We start from the raw sequence: 20,717 nt of genomic DNA on the forward strand, positions 1-20,717 counted from the left end.
TAGGGAGGCTGAGGCAGGAGAATTGCTTGAACCCAGGAGGCAGAGGTTGCAGTAAGCCAAGATTGTGCCACTGCCCTCCAGCCTGGCAACAGAGTGAGACTCCATCTCAAAAAAAAAAAAAAAAGAAAGAAAGAAAGAAACGGATAAAGTTGTGTTCTTTATTATGAAAAAAATTTTTTGTCTATTTTGGAGGTTAATTAAACATTGTTTCAAAATATAGAACAGATAGGAAAGAACCGGTAAGTAGGAGAGTGATATGTGAAGAAAGTATAGATATGAAAACGTATTTTTGGTAAGAAAGGTTAAAAAGAAAAGATAATAATGTTATATGAGAAAAAACTTTATATGGTAAATTTGTGTCCTAAGGTAAAATTTAAGAGAGCAAAAGTATAGGATAAAGCAGAAATTTCAAGCATATTGTCTATGGTACATATTGTCAGAGTACGTTGTGATAAGGTTTGTGAAAAGAAAATTTATGAAAGGAAATTTGCATGTGATCAGGTTGGCTATAATTAAAGGAAATTACTTATAAGTCTTTCTAAAGATTGAGCTTTGATATTAAATTATACTAATACAAAACTAAAATTTTGGTTCCCTATGTTAGAATAAAGCAAGTTTTTCATCAACTATCAATTTGCTTTTAGTAAAATTCAGAGGTTCTGAATTTTTAATTCTGAAATCTGTATCTTTTAAAACTTCTCAGACTTATATCTCGGAAGTTCAACTTTTACTGTACCTTGCTGCATGTGATTTGCAGGTCACATGTGATTGCCTTCTGTTTTTTAATCCCTGGGAAAGGTACATCTTTTTGCTTGGCTGGGATGGTAACTCTGTCCTTCAATGTTTTTATCAATTCCTGTAACTTTTGTTCTGGTTCTAACACTGATGTTGTGGCCTGACACTGAAATGTTTTATCTTGAAGGTGTAGAAAAGCAATGTTTTCCTTCAGTATAACTTGATTCTGTACTCTTGGGTTTTCTTTATAGGTCTGCATTGTTCAGTATAACCAGGAAACATCCATGTTGTTACTAAGAGTCCCTACTTTGTGTCCCTACACAAGGTACTAGTTTTCTTGTTTACATTTCTCCATAATAAATTGTACATCATAATCCTGGACAAACTCTTCCTCTGTCTGCTTAAATTCAAGTACCTTTTTCATCAGGTTTGACTTCCAGGTTAACTAAATGGGCTTCTCATGAGGAAAAGCAATTACACTACAGAAGGTTTTTCTTTTCCTTTTTGGTAACAGGTCTGAAAAAAAAAAGATTTTACATTTTATCGAGATAATCCTTGTGTTGTCTTTATTAGGATTTTGGTTACTTAGGAAAACTGAGTTTTAAATGGGTTAAGGTTTCCACAACCATGTAACTTCTATATAGCTTTTGAAGTTTTATGATTATCACTCTGGTTAAATGAATAACTATTATTTAACAGTGACCTGTGATTCTGTTTTGTTTTTCGGATTTTTGTTTTCATTTTTGTTTTTGTTTTGAGATAGGATCTTGCTTTGCTGCCCAGGCTGGAGTACAGTTGTGTGATCGTAGTTCACTATAAAACTAGGCTCAAGTGATCCTCCCACCTCAGCCTCCTGAATAGCTGGGACTACTGATGCATGCCAGAACATCCAGCTAATTAAATTTTTTTTTCATTTTTTGTTTTAGAGATAAGGTCTTGCTCTGTTGCCCAAACTGGAGTCAAGTGGTACAATCACAACTTGCTGTAATTTTGAACTCTGGGGCTCAAGCAATCCTTGGTCTCCTGAGTAGCTAGGACTACAGTAGTGTGTCACCATGCCCAGTTAATTTTTCATTTTTATTTGTAGATACCAGGTCTCCCTATGTTGCCCAATCTGGCCTTGAACTTCTGGCCTCAAGCAATCATTCTGCCTTGACCTCTCAATGTGCTGGGACTAAAGGTATGAGCCACCATGCTGTAAAAACTTTTCATGAAGATGAGATCTTGCTAATGTAGCCCAGGCTGGTCTTAAACTCCCGGCCTCAAGCAATCCTCCCACCTCAGCCTCCCAAAGCACTGGGATTGCTGTCCTGAGCCACTGTACCCAGCCCATGATTCTCTTTTGATCAAATGTTTCAAACCTTTTGACATCTTTGGCAGATTTCACTAAGATCAAAATTCTAAATTACTTTTTGTTGGCTTAAAATTAACTTTGGGATATTCTAGTTGGGCCCCTGGAAACATCAAAGAATGTATCTCTCATTTTGTAGAGATATTAAATTATTTGGTAAATTGTACGGTAGGCATTGTCAAATAACAATAATATTAGATCTTCTCTCAGTTACATTTATGGGTATGTTATTGATATGTGTTTCCAAAATCATACAAATTAATAAAAATATAATATTTTGTCAGTCATAATTTTATTATGATTTTTGATTGCTATGTTAAAGTTATATTTGTATGAATATGTTATTAATTTAAATATTCTAAAAATTATATAAAAGTTATAAAATTCTGATGGTCCTGATGTGACATTATCAGTCATAATTCTGGTTGCATCTACTAGATATTTTAAATGCTGCACGTAATAGCAATAACTAAATTTCCTGGTCAATTGGAACTTTCATCAGATTTTAATCATGGCTATTCTAAGTTTTTATCATCCACAGCTGTTGTTTTGAATTCTTCTCTAAACACATTTGCAATCAGCTTTAGTCCAAAATTGCTTTTCATGGAAAAGACTAACAAGTACTCTTAAACACTGATTTCTGATAACTTTAAGATAAATGGACTAAATAAAAACTCCCAGAATTCTAATAAAAGACTGACTCATTCATGAGGATCGTTAAGTCAACATCAAGCAGAAAAAGAATTACAAGGGACTGAACTGATGGAGCACTAAAATGATTACATAAATTCTTGTTTGAAATACTGCTGATTCTTTTTGTATTTTGTTTTCCAAAGTCAACACTTCCACAGTACATCTCCCTACAAAGACATTCCCCAAGGCTAGTGGGCGACCCAATGCCAATCAGCCCACTCTGATTAGCCCACCATAGTTCTATCTTTTGGTGTTGAGTGTTCTTACAATCTCCAAGGTTTCAAAACTTCCTTTTTATCTAAGCCCCCTGAAGTAACAACCACTCACTGCAACCACTGGCTGCCACTTCCAAAACTGCAGCTTTTGCCAGTAACTGTAGATTTTGCCAGTAACTTGCCATTACACATACAAAAGTCAGGTTCTCTCCCACAATACAAAGTAATCCCTGGTACTCCAAAAGCCAAAGAGATCAGGTACTACTTTTAATTGCTTTTTTTTTTTTTTCTGAGACCGGGTCTTGCTTTTTTACCTAGGCTGGAGTGCAGTGGCACTATCTTGGCTCACCACAACCTCTGCCTTCCGGGTTCAAGTGGTTCTCCTGCCTCAGCGTCCCGAGTGGCTGGGATTACAGGTGTATGCCACTACACCCAGCTAATTTTTTTTATTTTTAGTAGAGATGGGGTTTCACCATGTTGGCCAGGCTGTCTTAAACCCCTTACCTCCAGTGATGTGCCCGCCTCAACTTCCCAAAGTGCTGGGATTACAGGTGTGAGCCACCATGCCAGGTCTTTAATTCCTCTTAAAACTGTTCACTATTTAACAATTTGATTTCCTCTATGACAATATAAACTGCAATTTATAAATTAATAGAATCGGATTTCAAAAACATTCTTGAACCTAATAATTCAATCTTATCTTTTAATTCTAAATACATTTTCCCTTTTTTTTTGAGAGAAGGAGCTGTGAATATTATATAATCTACAATCCTTTTTGTAATGTCCAGGATTTTTGCAGTAATTGCAAAGCAGAGGATTAGATTGGTTTTGGAACTTATTAGGTTAGACAATTGCTTTAGTTGCAAACTCATGATCTTTTTTGCTTTTCCCCTCTGTTTGGCTTTCTTTTCTTTTTCTTCCTTAGGTAGGGTATGGGATATTTGATCAGCAAAATTAACTAGCTCATGAGTTTGAAAGGCAGTCCAACTGGGGCACTGTCCCTTTGTTACACATGCCAGTTCTTCGTCTTATCCATTTACGAAGTTTTAGTTAAGGAGAGCATCATTTTGGTAAGTTAGCACTATTACGAAGTTACACTCTCATAGTGTAACATTACAGGCTTATCAAGATTTTGTTTGCATTGTTATATTTTGTTCCAATTAACTACTTTTCGAAAACGAAGGGGATAGGATTTAGCAAAGCTTTGGCAGTATTGTAGGCCCATTCATGATCTGCTTCAGAATTGGAAGTCCTTTAAACAATTTCTCCAATTTGCCTTTGCTATCTAATCTTTGGCTTTACTTTCTGACACTAATATGCGAATCACTTGGTATAAACCAGAGAATCTGGGATTATAAGCTCAAACATTTGAATCACATTTTCTAGCAAATTCAATGGGGTCCTGAAGAGGATCTGGGAATTTTTAAATTATGTCTTTAAGTTCTACTTTTGAACCATGGTTGATATATCAAGTCAGGTTCTCCTCTAATGAACACAAGGTATTTCCAAAATGGAGCCAGAACAGCGGAAGAAGGAGGAAGAGGAGGAAAGGGAGGTAAATCTGGACAAGAAGTTCTGTCAAAAGAGAAGGAGGAGGCCAGGTGAGGAGGCTCACACCTGTAATCCCAGCACTTTGGGAGGCCAAAGCAGGCGGATCACTTGAGGTCAGGAGTTTGAGACCAGCCTGGCCAACATGGCAAAACCCCGTTTCTACTAAAAAATACAAAAATTAGCTGGGCGTGACGCACGCCTGTAAATCCAGCTACTCAGGAGGCTGAGGCAGGTGAATCACTTCAACCTGGGTGTGTGTGTGTGTGTGTGTGCAGGTTGTAGTGAGCCGAGATCATGCCACTGCACTCCAGCCTGGGTGACAGAGTGAGACTCTATCTAAAAAAGAAAAAAAAAAGAGAGAGAGAGAGAAAGAGGAGCTGAAGAAGGGGGAGAAATTTTGGTAGTATTTTTTAAATTCAGAAATTGTTTTGTACTTTTGTCCTACTCTTGCAGAGAATTGGCTTTATCACAACCTCTTTTAGAGGCTAAGTACCATTGAAAATAGCTCCCAGTTATTTTCTTTTCTTTTAGAGCCGGCTTTTACTAATGGATCAGGCAGATAAACTAGCTTAGGTATTTCAAAGTTACCTCATTTTGGCCATTGTAACTTGGGGTCATCTTGAGTAATATGAGATCAATTTTTTTCTAGATATTTGCATGAGGAGGTGCTGTGAATACTAAACAGGAATCCAGCTGGTGTTTCTAGTGGTGGATCTCTACTTAAGGAGGAAGACTCAGTTATAGAAGTAAGATTGCCCATAATTAAGACTTTCCTTTTGAATGGCCAAAAAGACCTAGCAGGAAGAATTTCGATCACTCAAGAAGAAAAGTTTAAATTTGTCAATTGAACTGAGCTTCACAATCTGGCCAGTTTTAAAGACTTTTTTTTTTTTTCAGTGATAAACTGATATCTCCCTGACCAAACTTCTGAATGAGAGAAATGTTTGAAAAGCTCTAAGGCATAATTCAAATAAGACCTTAATATCAGAGAAAAAGTGAAACTTACAAATCTGTGGTCAGAAAAATCACTAAAGAATAACAAATGAAACTCCTACCGAACAGTAGAGTTTCAATTTCAGCCCTTTCAATTTAGGAATGTGTGTAGCTCAAATAATGTCTCAATCCTCAAGAAAGCCAGAAAGATTCAGACTTGAGAGGAGCCTTTCCAGAGATCGTTGTTGACTCCAGCAAGGTTGGATAAACTACTGGCACCAGTTCTCTAGTTGTCAGTGAAGTGACAGTGATCACTGGAGGTCTGCTTTAGGTCCCGTTTGGGTCACCAAAATGTCAACCTTAAGAATGAGATGCAGAAAATATGATTAAGCATAGAGTTTATTTGAGCTCAAAGATTGAAGATGGCCACCCAAAAGCATAGATTTGAGTTTCCCTGAATACACACTTCTGTTTGCTGTAATTACAAGTGGTTTAAACATTTCTAAAAAATAATTAGAGGCTGGGAGCCGTGGCTCACGCTAGTAATCCCAGCACTTTGGGAGGCCGAGGCGGGCGGATCACAAGGTCAGGAAATCGAGACCATCCTGGCCAACATGGTGAAACCCCGTCTCTACTAAAAATACAAAAAATTAGCCAGGCATGGTGGTGGGCGCCTGTAGTCCCAGCTACTCGGGAGGCTGAGGCAGGAGAATGGCCTAAACCCAGGAGGCGGAGCTTGCAGTGAGCTGAGATCCGGCCACTGCACTCCAGCCTGGGCGACACAGCAAGACTCCGTCTCAAAAAAAAAAAAAAAAAAATTAGAGACAGGGTCTTGCTGGGCCTGAACTCCTGGCCTCAAGCAATCCTCCTGCCTCAGCTTCCCTGAGTGTTGGGATTGTAGGCATGAGCCACTGCACCTGGCCTTACCAGTGGTTTTTAAAGCAAAAAAATAAAAAAGAGGCAATTCCTAAATTGTTTACCAAGATTTTACATTAAAATGACATAAGTTATTGATTGGCTACACATTGTTCTTTGTATCACAAATTTCAGGAACATGAAGATAATGGGCGAGGCAGCTAGTCAAGAACAAAATGCCTTTAAACAATTGCCTGGGTGCAGGGGGCATGACTGAAGCTCCATATTCATGTCTCTCTGGGCCTGATATATTTTGCATACCTCACGTAGATCAGATTGCTCTGAGCTATTTCTCTTTTTCTCATGGATAATAGTATTTTTCTCATAGGGTTTTCATAAAGATTAAATAAGAAATAGCAAATTGCATATAGTGTCTAGTACAGAGTAAGTGTTCAATAACAGTTATGATGAAATGATTACAGTAATTGAGAAGAGAAAGGAGAGATAGGAGAGAGGAGTAAAGTTCCCTAAGAAGGCAAAGATGTATCCCTCCTAAGCGCAGGTAGTGGAATTAACTCTGCATTCACCAGGGGATAGGAAACTTTTCCCTTCACCCTTTGAAGGTTCTCTGAAAACTGACAAAAGGCAGATTAATAGGAGAAAAGGCATACACAATTTTATTTTCACGTGGCTAGCCTGGGGGAATCGCAGAATGGTGACCCAACAACGCACTATTATACAGAAGCTTATGTACCTGTTTTCAGAGGGGAGAGATGTATTGACTTGGGAGGTGGGAGGCAGATGATATAGAAAGGCAAAGGACAGGTTGGGTGCGGTGGCTCATACCTGTAATGTCAGCACTTCGGGAGGCTGAGGTGGACGGATCACCTGAAGTCAGGAGTTTGAGATCCACCTGGCCAACAGGGTAAAACCCTGACTCTACTAAAAATGCAAGAATTAGCCGGATGTGGTGGTGGGCATCTATAATCCCAGCTACTTGGGAGGCTGAGGCAAGAGAATCACTTGAACCCAGGAGGTGGAGGTTGCAGTGAGCCCAGATCTCACCACTGCACTCCAGCCTGGGCAACAGAGTGAGACTCCGTCTCAAAAAAAAAAAAGAAAGGCAAGGACCAGAGCTGCACAGAAACAAAGTCTGTCTTATTATGTAGATAAAGATTTTATGTAGATAAAATCTCTCAGTGCTGCTCTCAGATGAACAGATGAAAAGTCTGTCTGGGTGTGGGGATGACTCCCAGTCTCTTCTCTTCTCTGGTGGTTGATCTTTCCTGGCTATTTGATGAGATTCCTAGGGAGGGAGTCTTAAGACAATTGTATTTAAACTTTCTTCTTCAGATAAGAAATTCCAGAAGGAGTCTTTCTTATTTATTTATTTATTTATTTTTGAGATGGAGTCTCCCTCTGTTGCCTAGGCTGGAGTGCAGTGGCACGATCTTGGCTCATTGCAATCTCCCTCTCCTGGGTTCAAGCGATTCTCCTGCCTCAGACTCCCGAGTAGCTGGGATTACAGGTACCCACCACCACCATGTCTGGCTAATTTTGGTATTTTTAGTAGAGACAGGGTTTCACCATATTAGCCAGGCTGGTCTCGAACTCCTGATCTCAGGTGAGCCACCCGCCTCGGCCTTCCAAAGTGCTGGGATTACAGGTGCGAGCCACCGTGCCTGGCCAAGAATCTTTCTTAGGGTGCTTCTGGAAACAGGATCAGAGAGACAGGAAGGTGGGAGAAGTGGCAGAGAGAGAGAGACCTTTGTTCTCAGGCTTATTTTTGAGGATTTTCAAAAGCACTCAGCGTGGCTATATTTGGGGAATCATTTCTGTGCCCCAATACAGGGAAGAAAAGGGAGAAACACACTAGATCTGGATTTTTTTTTAAATTTTTTTTTTTGAGATGGGGTCTTGCTTTGTCACCCAGGCTGGAGTGCAGTGACACAATCATGGCTCACTGCAACCTTGACCTCCTGGGCTCAAGTGATCCTCCCACTTCAGCCTCCCAAGTAGCTGAGACCACAGGTGTGCACCACCACGCCTGGCTAAACTACTTTTTGTAGAGATGGGGCCTCCTTATGTTGCCCATGCTGGTCTCAAACTCCTGGGCTCAAGTGTTCCTCCTGCTTTGGCCTCCAAAGTTTTGGGATTACAGGCGTGAGCCACTGCGCCTGGCCTAGATCTAGAATCTAAAGCACTTGGCAACTTGAGAATAAGAAAGAGCAGTCAAAGTTGATTATAAAATTTTGAGGCAAGCTGGGTGTGGTGGCACCTGAGTAGTCGGAAACTGTAATTCCAGCTATTCAAGAGAGCACCTTGAGTAGGTGGAACCTGTAATTCCAGCTACTCAAGAGGCTGGAATACATACATTCTAGCTACTCAAGAGGCTGGAATACATACATTCCAGATAAGAAATTCCAGAAAGAGCCTTTCTTATTTATTTATTTATTTATTTTTGATTTATTTTTATTTTATATGTATATATATTTGATGCTAACTGCAAGAGTGGTGTCAATAACAAAAACAGATAAGTAGTTTTCTCTATTTTTTTGGACTACTTTGATGGAAGATAATACATTTTATTTCAACTGTTAAAGTAGGAAATGCTTATAAGACATCCAGATGGAGATATTAAACAATGAGAATGAAGGCCAGGAGATCCAAAGGGGACTTGAAACTGGAGAGAGATTTGAAATAATCTACTTGGTGTTAATAATGATGCTATGGGAGCAAGAGAATTTATTAATTTTGTATTGCTAGTGTATTCTGTACGTGCTGGTCTTGCACATAGCAGGTGTTCAATGAACATGTTTTATTGTTGTTGTTTAAAAAGAAAACAGAATTATCTAGATAATCTACATTTAGGAGAAGAATGAAGACTTGATTGAGGACCCAAAGGATGACCAAGAAGAGGTACAGGAGAAAACCCAGAATTCTGCAGGGTCTTGGCGATGCAAGTGTCAGAGCCATTTGAACCAGAGCTACTCCATCTTGAGTGAGGGCTAAGAAAACTGAGGCTGGGACTTGCTGGGCTGCATTCCCAGGAGGGTAAGTATTCCTAGCCTCTAGGTTAACGGAACAGATTAATAACGTTTACTAACAGACCCAGACTCAGGAATGTCCTGATATCCTGATGTCTTAAAAACAAAAGCACTCCTAATTTTGCTTTAAAGATAAATATCGATCCTTGCAAAATATAGTAATTAAGAAAACTAATTGTTTAAATCACAAACCTTTGTAGTAGAGCAAATCTCCCCATTTTTTTGTTATCCTATATATAAATAAGCATTGTACCTAGGGGTAGGCGCGTTCCTCCTCTTACTTTCAGGAACGCCCTACTCTGTCTATAGAGTAGCTATTCCTTCACCACTTTACTTCCTTAATAAATTTGCTTTTGCTTTGCACTGTGGACTTGCCCCAAATTCTTTCTTCGGTGAGATCCAAGAACCCTCTCTTGGGGTCTGGATCAGGAGCTCTTTCTGGTAACATAAGAAAAGAAAGAGAAATTCATGAAGGAGAGGGTGGTCTACTGTGTGAAATGCCAATGAGAGATTAAGGACCTTGTGGACTGAGAAACTTTTTGGAATTGGCCAATTCTTCAAAATACAAGCTCCATGAGGGCAGATGTTTTTTCAGAGGCAGGATCTTACTTATTGCCCAGATTGGAGGGCAGTGGCTATTCACAGGCACAATCACAGTGCACTGCAGCCTCAAATCCCTAGGCTCAAGTGATGCTCTTGTCTCAGCCTCACAAGTAGCTGGAACTACAGACGTGTGCCTGGGCTTCCGCTGAGAGCAGATATTTTTGACTGTTAGAAGACTGCCTATAACATCGTAGGTACTCAACAATAAATACTGTGAACAAAAATTCTCTGAAAAGGAATTTAGAAGAAAGAAACTATTCCAATGAACAGTTTGCAAATAGGGGAGACACAGCCTTTGGTACAAAAGGAAGGTACATGCCAGAGAACAAAGGGAGGGATTGTTTTTATATAGAAAGTACCTACCCAGGTTCCCATGCTCCTCCATTTATGTAGATGAAGGATGCAAACTTGCTTAGATCTGATTGCCTGATGTTTGCTGAGTTTTGATTGGTTGACATAGGTTACAGCTTATTGGTTGGTTCAGGTGCCTAAACAGGAACAGGCAGCTATGAAAGTTGCAAAGTTAAGGAAAAGCCTGTAAGGAACTCAGAGTACATGTGTGATCTCTAATCAGCAAATGGCCCATTGGCTCTATTTTCAATTCAGGCCCAGTTAGACACTAAGGATTTATCTTGAAGGACTGGCTTTTTCAGGTTTCACAACGCAGAACAAATGAACTGGTGATATTTCAGAAAACACTTTCAGAAAACTGTTGGGCACAGAAGCCAAATCTTAAGTATTCAATAGAGTTGCCACTTTCCTAAAAAATATCCAGCTATTTCTCATCTGTTTTCCCCATGTAGTCAGAGTGATTTAATGCAGTTGTGTGATAATGGCTCACTGCAGCGTCGACCTCCCAGGCTCAAGCTATTATCCCACCTCAGCCTCTTAGGTAGCTGGGACTACAGGCATATGCCACTATGTCTGGCTAATTTTTAAAATTTTTTGTAGAGACGGGGTCTCACTATGTTGTCCAGGTTGGTTTTGAACTCCCAAGCTCAAGTGATCCTCCTGCCTTGGCCTCCCAAAGAGTTGGGATTATGGGTGTTAGCCATTGTGCCTGGCCAGAATGACTTTTAAAAAATTAAATCATCAGATCATGTAACTTGCCTTCTGAAAATGTTTCAGTGGATTCCCATTGAATTTAAGATTAAACAAACAAACAGACAAACAAAAAAACCCACACTGCCTGAGACCGTGAACTCTGCACAGCCTGGTCTATATTTTCAACTGTACTGCATACCACTTTACTTCTCCTGCGCTACACTCCAGCCACGTCCTTTAACCAGAGAGGAGAGACAAGTTCTCACCTTTCCCTTCTATTCCTTCGTCATACCAATCTTCTTCCTGCATTAGGGCATTTGCCTGTGGTTCCCTTTGTTTAGAATATGCCATCCCACGACATGTGGTCCCCCACCAGGATCTCCCAGCCAAACTTGCTTCTCATCCTCAGGTTTCTGTTCAATTGTCATTATCACCTCCCCAAAGGGTTCTCATTCCTGTGTACTTGGTTTAAAGTAGTCCTTCCCTCAGCCCCCATTGCTCTCAAATGACCTTGCTTTGTGTCCCTCATAGGACTTGCTTTAAGTCCCTCATAGGACTTCATACAGTTTGGAATTACCTTATCTATTTGTTTATGTGTTTATAATCTGTCTCCTCCCACTAGGATATAAACTATGTAAAGAGAGAGAACATGCAAACTGGGAGGAGAGTAACTGATGAATAAAATTTGAGGAAAAGCAAAAAGGGATGAGATGAAGAACTCAAAGGGAGGAATAAGAGTACCTTTCTTTCTCGGAAAAAAGAGCCGGCTGGGCGCGGTGGCTCACGCCTGTAATCCCAGCACTTTGGGAGGCCGAGGTGGGCAGATTACGAGGTCAGGAGATCGAGACCATCCTGGCTAACACGGTGAAACCCCGTCTCTACTAAAAATACAAAAAAAATTAGCCGGGCGTGGTGGCGGGCGCCTGTAGTCCCAGCTACTCCGGAGGCTGAGACAGGAGAACGGCGTGAACCCGGGAGGCGGAGCTTGCAATGAGCCGAGATCGCGCCACTGCACTCCAGCCTGGGACACGGAGTGAGACTCCGTCTCAAAAAAAAAAAAAGGAAAGAAAGAAGAGCCAAGAACATGGAAGAGAGCAGAAACATCAGGGAGTCTGGGGTGGAACACGTTGTATAACCTGATAAGTTATTTTCCCATCAGCTTTTAATTACATAGTTAAATTGGCTGTGGGAATAGCAGCAAACTATTTGATTTTAGGTTGCCAGCTGGCTCTGGAAGACATGCACGTATATGGGGTGGAGAAAATCCTTTTCCAGATTCTTCTCTCCTTGTCTTTACTAGGCTGAACGAGAAGAATCAGTGGCCCATATTACATATGTAAAAAGGGCTTTGGGAATTGCAAAGGTCTTTACAGATGTGGTTACTGTTATTTTACTTTATGCATGATTCTAAAGGAGGTATGCACCGTCTGAAGTGCCAGGAAGGAGCATCTGGGTGGATGTCCATGATGGCCCCAAAAGGACTTCAGCATTTTTCCTGAGAAACAGTGAGTTCAGATTTACACAGTATTTGTTTTTTATCACAGGCTTTGAAATGACTAAGCATTAAATTCACATAACCCTGCTGTGAAACACATTATCATGTTATTATAACCCCATTTTCTGTTGAAAGGTAGAAATAAGATCTGTTCCAGACTAAACAGGAAGTCAGTAATAAGATTATAGTTACTGGTTAATCTAGGCTTTCTGATTGTGCATACATTACATCTTTTATACACATAAGGTTCAGGATGACAACTACCAGCACCGTGATTGGTGTTCTTTTCTATTCCCTCCCTCTCCCCTCACCCCCACACTAGTGTAGACAACCAAGGTGATATGGTTTGGATTTGTGCCCCCCCCACCCCAATCTCATCTTGAATCGTAACCCCCAGTGTTGGAGGAGGGGCCTGGTAGGAGGTGACTGGATCATGGGGACAGATTTTCCCCTTGCTGTTCTCATGATAGTGAGTGAGTTCTCACGATCTAGTTGTTTAAAAGTGTGTAGCACCGCTGGGCATTGTGGCTCATGCCTGTAATCCCAGCACTTTGGGAGGCTGAGGCGGGTGGATCACAAGGTCAAGAGTTCAAAACCAGCCTGGCCAACATGGTGAAACCCCATCTCTACTAAAAATACAAAAATTAGCTGGGCATGGCGGTGCATGCCTGTGGTCCCAGCTACTCAGGAGGCTGAGGCAGGAGGATTGCTTGAACCCAGGAGGTTGCAGTGACTGAGATCATGCCAGTGCACTCCAGCCTGGGTGGCAGATGAGGCTCCATCTCAAAAAAAAAAAAAGTGTGTAGCACCTCCTCTTTCACTCTATTCCTCCTGCTCCAGCCATGTAGGATGTGCCTGCTTCCCGTTTGCCTTCCACCATGATTGTAAGTTTCCTGAGGCCTCCCCAGCCATGCTTCCTGTATAGCCTGTGGAACTGTGAGCCAATTAAACTTCTTTTCTTTATAAATTACCCAGTCTCAGGTAATTTTTTATAGCAATGTGAGAACAGACTAATACAAAAGGTATGTGTGTATGGTGTGTGAAAGACAGATGAAGAAGATATTAAATATGAGTATTTATAACTATATATAACTATAGTTTATAACTAGTAGCAAACTAGTGCTGCTTTCTAGTATTTGGGATTGCAGATTTTCTTTGCGTGACTGCGCTTCCCTGGGAGATGCTGGCACGGAACTGTGTGTCCTGGGAAGTGGAAGTTGGCAGTGGGTCGGAGGCTGCAGAGTGCACGTGAAGAACCTTCCTGGGCTGCTGATTTAGGGGTTGGGGAGAGCAATGGTGAATGAGGGTGATGATTTAGCTGCTACCACAGAGAGTGAAGATAGTTAATGATTTGTAGTAAATAAGGCTGGAAGAGGCCCACAGGAAACTTTCATAAAAGATAATCGTTCCTTGTCTTCAAAATATTTACAGTTGGTACTATGCTTTTCTTCCCTTCTCTTGTATATTTCTTTTAAAAATCTAATTTGTCATTTTGAAATAGGTCTAGAAAAGTCCATGTCCTATGAGGGTCAAGTGAGGGCTTGACTGACGCACTGAAGGTTTGGCTCTTTTCGTGAGTAACCCTTCACTTCTGATGATGTAGATAAATGACAATGTAGATAAATTGGGAGCCAAAGGTTTTCAGGAATTAGTAATGCCGTGGTAAGCAAACTGTGGCTAGCAATTATGGCAGTGGTTGAGTATGAGGGTGCTGAGAGGAGGCACTTCTGTGTGCTTGCTCAGTTCTCCGGGTGGGGGACTGCCACTAGTACAGGTGCGACTAAGGCAAGCTCCTAAAGCATCTATACTTGCCTACTTCCTAACAGCTTGGGCAGCTTGGGAGCTCTGCAGAGTACACATAGGCCCTTGAACCCCCACTTTTATTTTTTTCTTTCCATTTTTTATTTTAGACTCAAGGGGTAAATGTTCAGGTTTATTACACAGGTAAATTGCATGTTGTGGGGGTTTGGTGTACAGACAGTCTTGTCACCCAGGTAATCAGCATAATACCCTATAGGTAGTTTTTTAATCTTCACCCTCCTCCTACTCTCCACCCTCAAGTAGGCCTCAGTGTCTACTGTTCCCTTATTTGTGTCCATGGGTACTCAGTGTTTATAATTCCACCTGTAAGTGAAAACATGTGGTATTTGATTTTCTGTTCCTGCATTAATTCATTTTGGATAATGGCCTCCAGCTCTACCTGTGTTGCTGCAAAGGACATGGTCTCATTCTTTTTTGTGGCTGTGTAGTATTCCATGGTGTACCACATTTTCTTTATCCAGTCCACCGATGGGCATCTAGGTTACTTCCATGTCTTTTTATTGTGAATAGTGCTGCGATGAACATACACGTGCATGTGTCCTTTTTTTTTTTGAGGCAGTTTGTTGCCCAGGCTGGAGTGCAGTGGCATGATCTTGGCTCACTGCAACCTGTCTCCCAGGCTCAATTGATCCTCGCACCTCAGCATCCCAAGTAGCTGGGACTACAGGCACTCGCCACTATGCCCAGCTAGTGTGTGTGTGTGTGTGTGTGTGTGTGTGTGTGTGTGTGTGTTTGCCATGTTGCCCCGGCTGGTCTCCAACTCCTGAGCTCAGGGTGATCCGCCTGCCTCAGCCGCCCAAAGTGCTGGGATTACAGGCGTGAGTCACTGCACCTGGCTGTGCATGTGTCTTTACGGTAGAACAATTTATATTCTTTTGGGTATATACCCAGCAATGGGATTGCTGTGGACCCCCAATTTTAATGACAGTACTTTCCCTATTTTAAAGGACTCCTATGATGCTTTAAAATCATGTGTGAAACGTAGGAGATTGAAAGAAAAAAAAAGACTCCTATGATTCTTTCATGTCCAACCAACTTAGGCTAGAAAGAAGGAAAATCAAATAGGCAGGCACTGTGGCTCACACCTGTAATCCCAGCACTTTGGAAGGCCGAGGTGGGCAGATCACCTGAGGTCGGGAGTTTGAGACCAGCCTGACCAACATGGAGAAACCCCGTCTCTACTAAAAATACTAAATTAGCCAGGTGTGGTGGTGCATGCCTGTCATCCCTGCTACTTGGGAGGCTGAGGCAGGAGAATCGCTTGAACCTGGGAGGCGGAGGTTACAGGGAGCTGAGATAGCGCCATTGCATTCCAGCCTCGGCAACAAGAACAAAACATCGTCTCAAAAAAAGGAAAATAAAAAAGGGCAGCCCAGTTCTGATTACAGCCGACTAAATGCAGTTACTCATCAATTACTTTATAGTCTCAGAAATATGCACCCATTAAGATTCAGCACATGTATAAATAAACTTATGTACCTAATGTTTACACACACCTTACTACTAACCCTACACTGAATGTATGGTTTATTCTTGCCACTGTTGTATCTTTCTAGACTCACACATTACCATCAATATGCTGCCTTTTATTTGTTGTAGAGAGTATCCCAGAGTTGGAAGATCCTGAATTTGAAGCCTGTTTCTCCCATTATTATATGGCTTTCAGGAAGGGGAACCATCTGAAGAGAAAGGGTAGGTAGACTCAGAAGACCAGTGGCCTTATAAAACCGTAATTCCGGCCAGGTGTGGTGGCTCACGCCTGTAATCCCAGCACTTTCGGAGGTTGACGCGGGGGCGGATCACGAGGTCAAGAGATCAAGACCATCCTGGCCAACATGGTGAAAGCCTGTCTCTACTAAAAATACAAAATTAGCCGGGTGTGGTGGCGCATGCCTGTAATCCCAGCCACTCGGGAGGCTGAGGCAGGAGAATCCTTTGAACTCAGGAGGCGGAGGTTGCAGTGAGCCCAGATAGCGCCACTGCACTGCAGCCTGGGCGACAAGAGCGATACTCCATCTCAAAACCAACCAACCAAACAAAAACAAAGATTGTAAATGTTTGTTTGGTTTGCCCTGGAAAGAGAAGGCTTCTACTTAGAGTCTGAATCAAGGAGGAAAAGGAAAGAAAACAAGTTCATCTTTCATCAAAAGTCTACTTTGCATCGGACACTTAAATTCCTAAATGGGGAGAAATGCAAAAAACTCTGACTCTTCAGAGTCATAACTAACATTATCTTGCGCCACAAGCTTATCAAGAGTGCAATACAAGTCAGTGTCTTCTCTTTTCTACTTAAAAGAAAATTCTCGTTTTTATTTATTACTTTATTGCAAGGAGAAGCAGACAATAAGTAGGAGTCTTATGAGGCGTTCTGATGCATAGGAGCAATGGTGAATGAGGGTGGTGACTCACCACCCCATGGGACTCCAAGGTTTTGGTGACAGCTCGCCTGAGCCCCAGGGGGTGCCGAGATTGCGGCGAGGAGAGCCGCAGCACAAGGCAAATCCACGCGGTTGGTCCCCGCTACGCCCCCGTAGTCACCCGCAGCCCCTCGCCAAAGGGCGCTCCGCGCATGCGCACAGGATCCGGCTCGGGAGGCGGACCCTGGCTGCCATCTTGCAGTGCGCGGGAACCGCCGCCGCCGCCGCTGGCCAAAAAGCGGAGCCCAGGGGAAGCGTGTCCTGCTCAGACCGCCTTCCTTCTCCATTGCCACCCGTGCCGAACAGCCAGGCTGCCCAATTGCAACTGTAGACCAATGAACTAATCCATCGCCCGCAGCCCGACTCTCAGCAGCGGTTCGTCCCGGTGCCCACCCCCGCGAAGCGGAGCGCCCGGGCACCTAGCCTCCCTGCCGGCCACCTAGCCTCCCTGCCGGCCACGATGCCGAACGTGCTGCTGCCGCCCAAGGAGAGCAACCTCTTCAAACGCATCTTGGTGAGTGGCCGTAGGCCGCGCTGCCGCCCCCCGGTCCCCGGGTCCTCGGGCCTTAAGGGCAAGCGGTCTGGCGGCGGCCGGCGCGGGCCAGGCTTGGCCTCCGCTGCCCACCGCTCTTTGTTTACCTCGGAGGTCGCGGGACCCCACTTTCCCGCTCCGGCCGGCCCACGGGGGCTGCCGAGCCGCTCCTCCGTGCGCTTCCTTTCCGCGGTCTTCTGCGGCTCGCCTCACCCCCGCCGCGCTCTTTCCAGAAACTTCACGCCGCTCTCCGCAGTGCCCGGGCACAGCCGCCTCGGCCGGTAGTGGCTGCCGTGCTCTCTGCCGCGCCGGGCTCGCAGCAGCCCCTCAGGGATCCTCCCCCGGTGGTTTATTTTGCCAGTCTCTCCTCGGCTAGGTGTTTTGCGTTCTGCATTCTCTGCTTTGCGTTTAGTTAGATTGCACAGCACACCCGCATACCTATTAAAGCGGGATCGATGCGATGGTGGAATTTTTCCTGGTTACGAGGAAATAAAACCGGCAACTTTAGGAAGCCAGGCCTGGCACCACCTCCCTTTGGGAAAAAGTTTGCCTGTTTGTAATGTACCTTATTTACCTCTTTGGAAGTGAATATTTGACTTGAAGTGCGTTTCTGAGTTGTCACCAACTTCAAAACAGCTGTTTGCTTTTTAGTCGCACAGGCCTTGCTTGAGTAATTAAAGCCGCGTGGACTGGCTGGTTTTGCATTTGAGGGGAGCATTTTTACTTTATCGCGGAGCAGAAGCCTGAATAATGGCCCCGTAGTGATGACCGCTGCGGAGCCGGGTGGGCAGTTTTCTGTGGGCTGTGTGCCAGCGTCCCTGGTAGCTTTCCAGGTTCTGTTCTTCCAAGGAGAAGAGGCAGCATTCCTTTGCTTTCCTCAGTATCCTCTGGCTACCCTAGGTTTTAAACTAATATTGTTAGTAGGTAACTGTCTTTTCTAGTTTATCTTTTCACCTGAAAAAAAGCTTTTATTTGCTAAACATGCATTTAGGTTTAAAGGTGAATTTATTGAAAGCTGGGTTGGCTATATGGCTGTTAGTTGTTGCTTAACTTTACTATAAATAAAATACTAATTTTAGAGTAATTTTAAGTATGAACAGCGGCAGATAATTCATAGTAGCTGTTCTGTTTCAAGACGATAGAAACTTCACACTTAGTCTTCAGATTAGGATACATAGTAGATGGGATAAAAATTTTAAATATTATGTGGTGCTTAGTTTTGAACCAATAATAAGATACAAATGTGAGAACATTAAAAATACGAATAATTAAAGCACGTGGCAGGTTGCTTCATTGGGCTTTGTATTTTTTTATTTTACTTCTCATGCCCTTTTATTTTACACAGCATGGAATTGGAGAAGTAATTTATTTATTTTTATTTTTAATTTTTTTTTGCCCTGGGAATCTGAAACATTAATGATAATATCATTTATAAATCGCTAGTTGGATTTCAGGACATTTGGCATCATACTTTAAAGATGACAGCACTTCTTTTCTCTTTATACGAGTTTTTTGTAGTTCAAATCATGGATCAGTGTCATAAGGAAAAAGTTACATTATTATTCTTAAATTACAAAAAAGGTAGGGTTTATCCCCAAATAAATTGGGAAATGGTAACCACTAAAAAAAAATCAATTATTTTGAGATGGAAGTCTCGGTTTGTTGGCCAGGCTACTGTCGAATTCCTGGCTTGAAGCGATCTTCCCACCTCAGCCTCCCAAATTGCTGGGATTACAGATGTGAGCTACTGTGCTCAGCCAAGCTAAACATTTTTAAATCTAGGTATGTAATGTTTCTGACAAGGTTGCGTGAATTTAGGAGGATTCTGCATAAACGAATGATTTTATCATTTCACAATTGCAATAAATGTGGGTAAAATTTGGCTACAACAAATTCCATAGCAAACAGAAGTCTCTGTAATAAAATTATCTTTAAAGTTTAGTGGATTAAAGTGCTTTGCCACCAACAGTAAAATTTTTTCTATTGAAAAAATTCAAACACATCCACACAAACTGACCAGCTGGTTTTTTACGTGTTCCACGTGGCTTGTATCTGCATGTCTTATTCCCCAGACTGGATATTAATTAGCATTACAGTTTGTTGAATTTTGGAGGTATTCCATGCCCTCTTTTAGAAAGAGACAAACCTAAAGATGGTAAATGACCAAGTGGCTAAGGTTCTCTGTCTGGTTAGTAGCAAAGTTGAGACTAGAATCTATCATTTCTGCTTAGTATATAATGGTTCCTGAGTGAATGTAGATTTGTCTTTTTTTTTTTTTTGCGAGAGTGTATCGCTTTGTCGCCCAGGCTGGAGTGCAGTGGCAAGATCTCACTGCAACCTCTGCCTCCCAGATTCAAGCGATTCTCGTGCCTCAGCCTCCTGAGTAGCTGAGATTACAGGTTGACTTGTCTTTACCCGAGTACTTGGACTCTGGGGACAGACTACCTGGTTAAGAGTTGTGGCTCTGGCACTTAATAGTTATATAAACTCTATAACTATGCCTCAGTTTCTCTATCTAAATGGGGATATCATGCATCTCATAGGCTTTCCTGGGATTTAAATAAAGAGTAAATAAGCTGTCATGGGATGAAGGAAAAAAATAACAGTGTCTGGACGTATAGTAAATGCTTCCAATAGGTGTTAACTATTATTACTGTTATTGGCAGTATGATTATTATTATTTTCAGATAACCTGGTAAGTCAGAAAAACTAGTATTTCTATTTGTCTTTCTCAGTAGTTCCTTTCTCTTGTTTTTTTCTTGTCATTTGTGAGACAGACTTGTAGTCAAACTCAGATTGTCATTTTTTATTTTAAAATATTTTTGGAATAGGCAGTATATTCACATGGTTCAAAATTTAGGTTTCTCTCCTATCCTTATCGCAGAATCACCTAGTTCCCTTCCCCAGAGGCTGTCAAGAGGCCTCAATATAAACTTTTTTTCCATGAAGACTTTTCTAATTCCTTCCACATCCAGCCCCTGCTGCAAGGCTTAAAGATGGTCTCATCCATTGCTAGTGGCATTTTGCTTTGAACTTAGTAGGCTGTATTTATGGAGCAGTTTCTTATTTGTTTAGCCATGGCAATGCAGCAGTATGTAAAATAGGCTAAGGCCGGCGCAGTGGCTCATGCCTGTAATCCCAGCACTTTGGGAGGCTGAGGTGGGAGCTAGGATCACTTGAGCCCAGGAGCAAAAGACCAACATAGTGAGACTTCATCTCTACCAAAAATAAAAAAATAAAAAAAAATTTAGCCAGGCATGATGGCACACACCTGTAGTCCTTCCTATCCACTCAGGAGGCTAAGGTGGGAAGATCACTTGAGCTCAGCAGTTTGAGGTTATGGTGATTGTGTCACTGCACACCAGCTTGGGCAACAGAGTGAGACTGTCTCTAAAAAATAAATAAGAAAGATAGGTGAGATCATT

At 42.2% G+C, this 20,717-nt stretch overlaps 2 protein-coding genes and 1 long non-coding RNA gene across 15 annotated transcripts in view; 2 read left to right on the plus strand and 1 right to left on the minus strand.

Annotated features, from left to right (window-relative positions):
* The window catches only part of MTRF1 (mitochondrial translation release factor 1), a 95,670-nt gene extending 77,940 nt beyond the window's left edge, over positions 1 to 17,730 (minus strand). For all 4 annotated transcript variants that reach the window (NM_001354074.1, NM_001354076.1, NM_001354073.1 and 1 more), the window contains exon 1: positions 17,400 to 17,730. The gene's annotated coding sequence lies outside the window, so the exon portion shown is untranslated. The remainder of the gene's footprint in view (positions 1 to 17,399) is intronic.
* On the plus strand, positions 1,875 to 9,743 carry LOC105370173 (uncharacterized). Of its 2 annotated transcripts, none has more exons than XR_001749846.2 (3): positions 1,875 to 1,915; positions 3,920 to 4,064; positions 9,205 to 9,743. It is a non-coding gene; the product is annotated as an uncharacterized LOC105370173 (long non-coding RNA). The 2 variants fall into 2 exon arrangements; XR_941899.3 differs by lacking the exons at positions 1,875 to 1,915; positions 3,920 to 4,064 and adding exons at positions 4,126 to 4,595; positions 5,195 to 5,291.
* The window catches only part of NAA16 (N-alpha-acetyltransferase 16, NatA auxiliary subunit), a 65,764-nt gene continuing 62,005 nt past the window's right edge, over positions 16,959 to 20,717 (plus strand). For all 9 annotated transcript variants that reach the window (NM_024561.5, XM_006719866.4, XM_011535228.3 and 6 more), the window contains exon 1: positions 16,959 to 17,274. In NM_024561.5, the coding sequence (NP_078837.3) occupies positions 17,221 to 17,274 (54 nt within the window). In that variant the 5' untranslated portion in view covers positions 16,959 to 17,220. The remainder of the gene's footprint in view (positions 17,275 to 20,717) is intronic.

The sequence above is a fragment of the Homo sapiens genome, chromosome 13 (genome assembly GCF_000001405.40).
Source record: "Homo sapiens chromosome 13, GRCh38.p14 Primary Assembly".
In the NCBI taxonomy this organism is placed as follows: domain Eukaryota; kingdom Metazoa; phylum Chordata; class Mammalia; order Primates; family Hominidae; genus Homo; species Homo sapiens.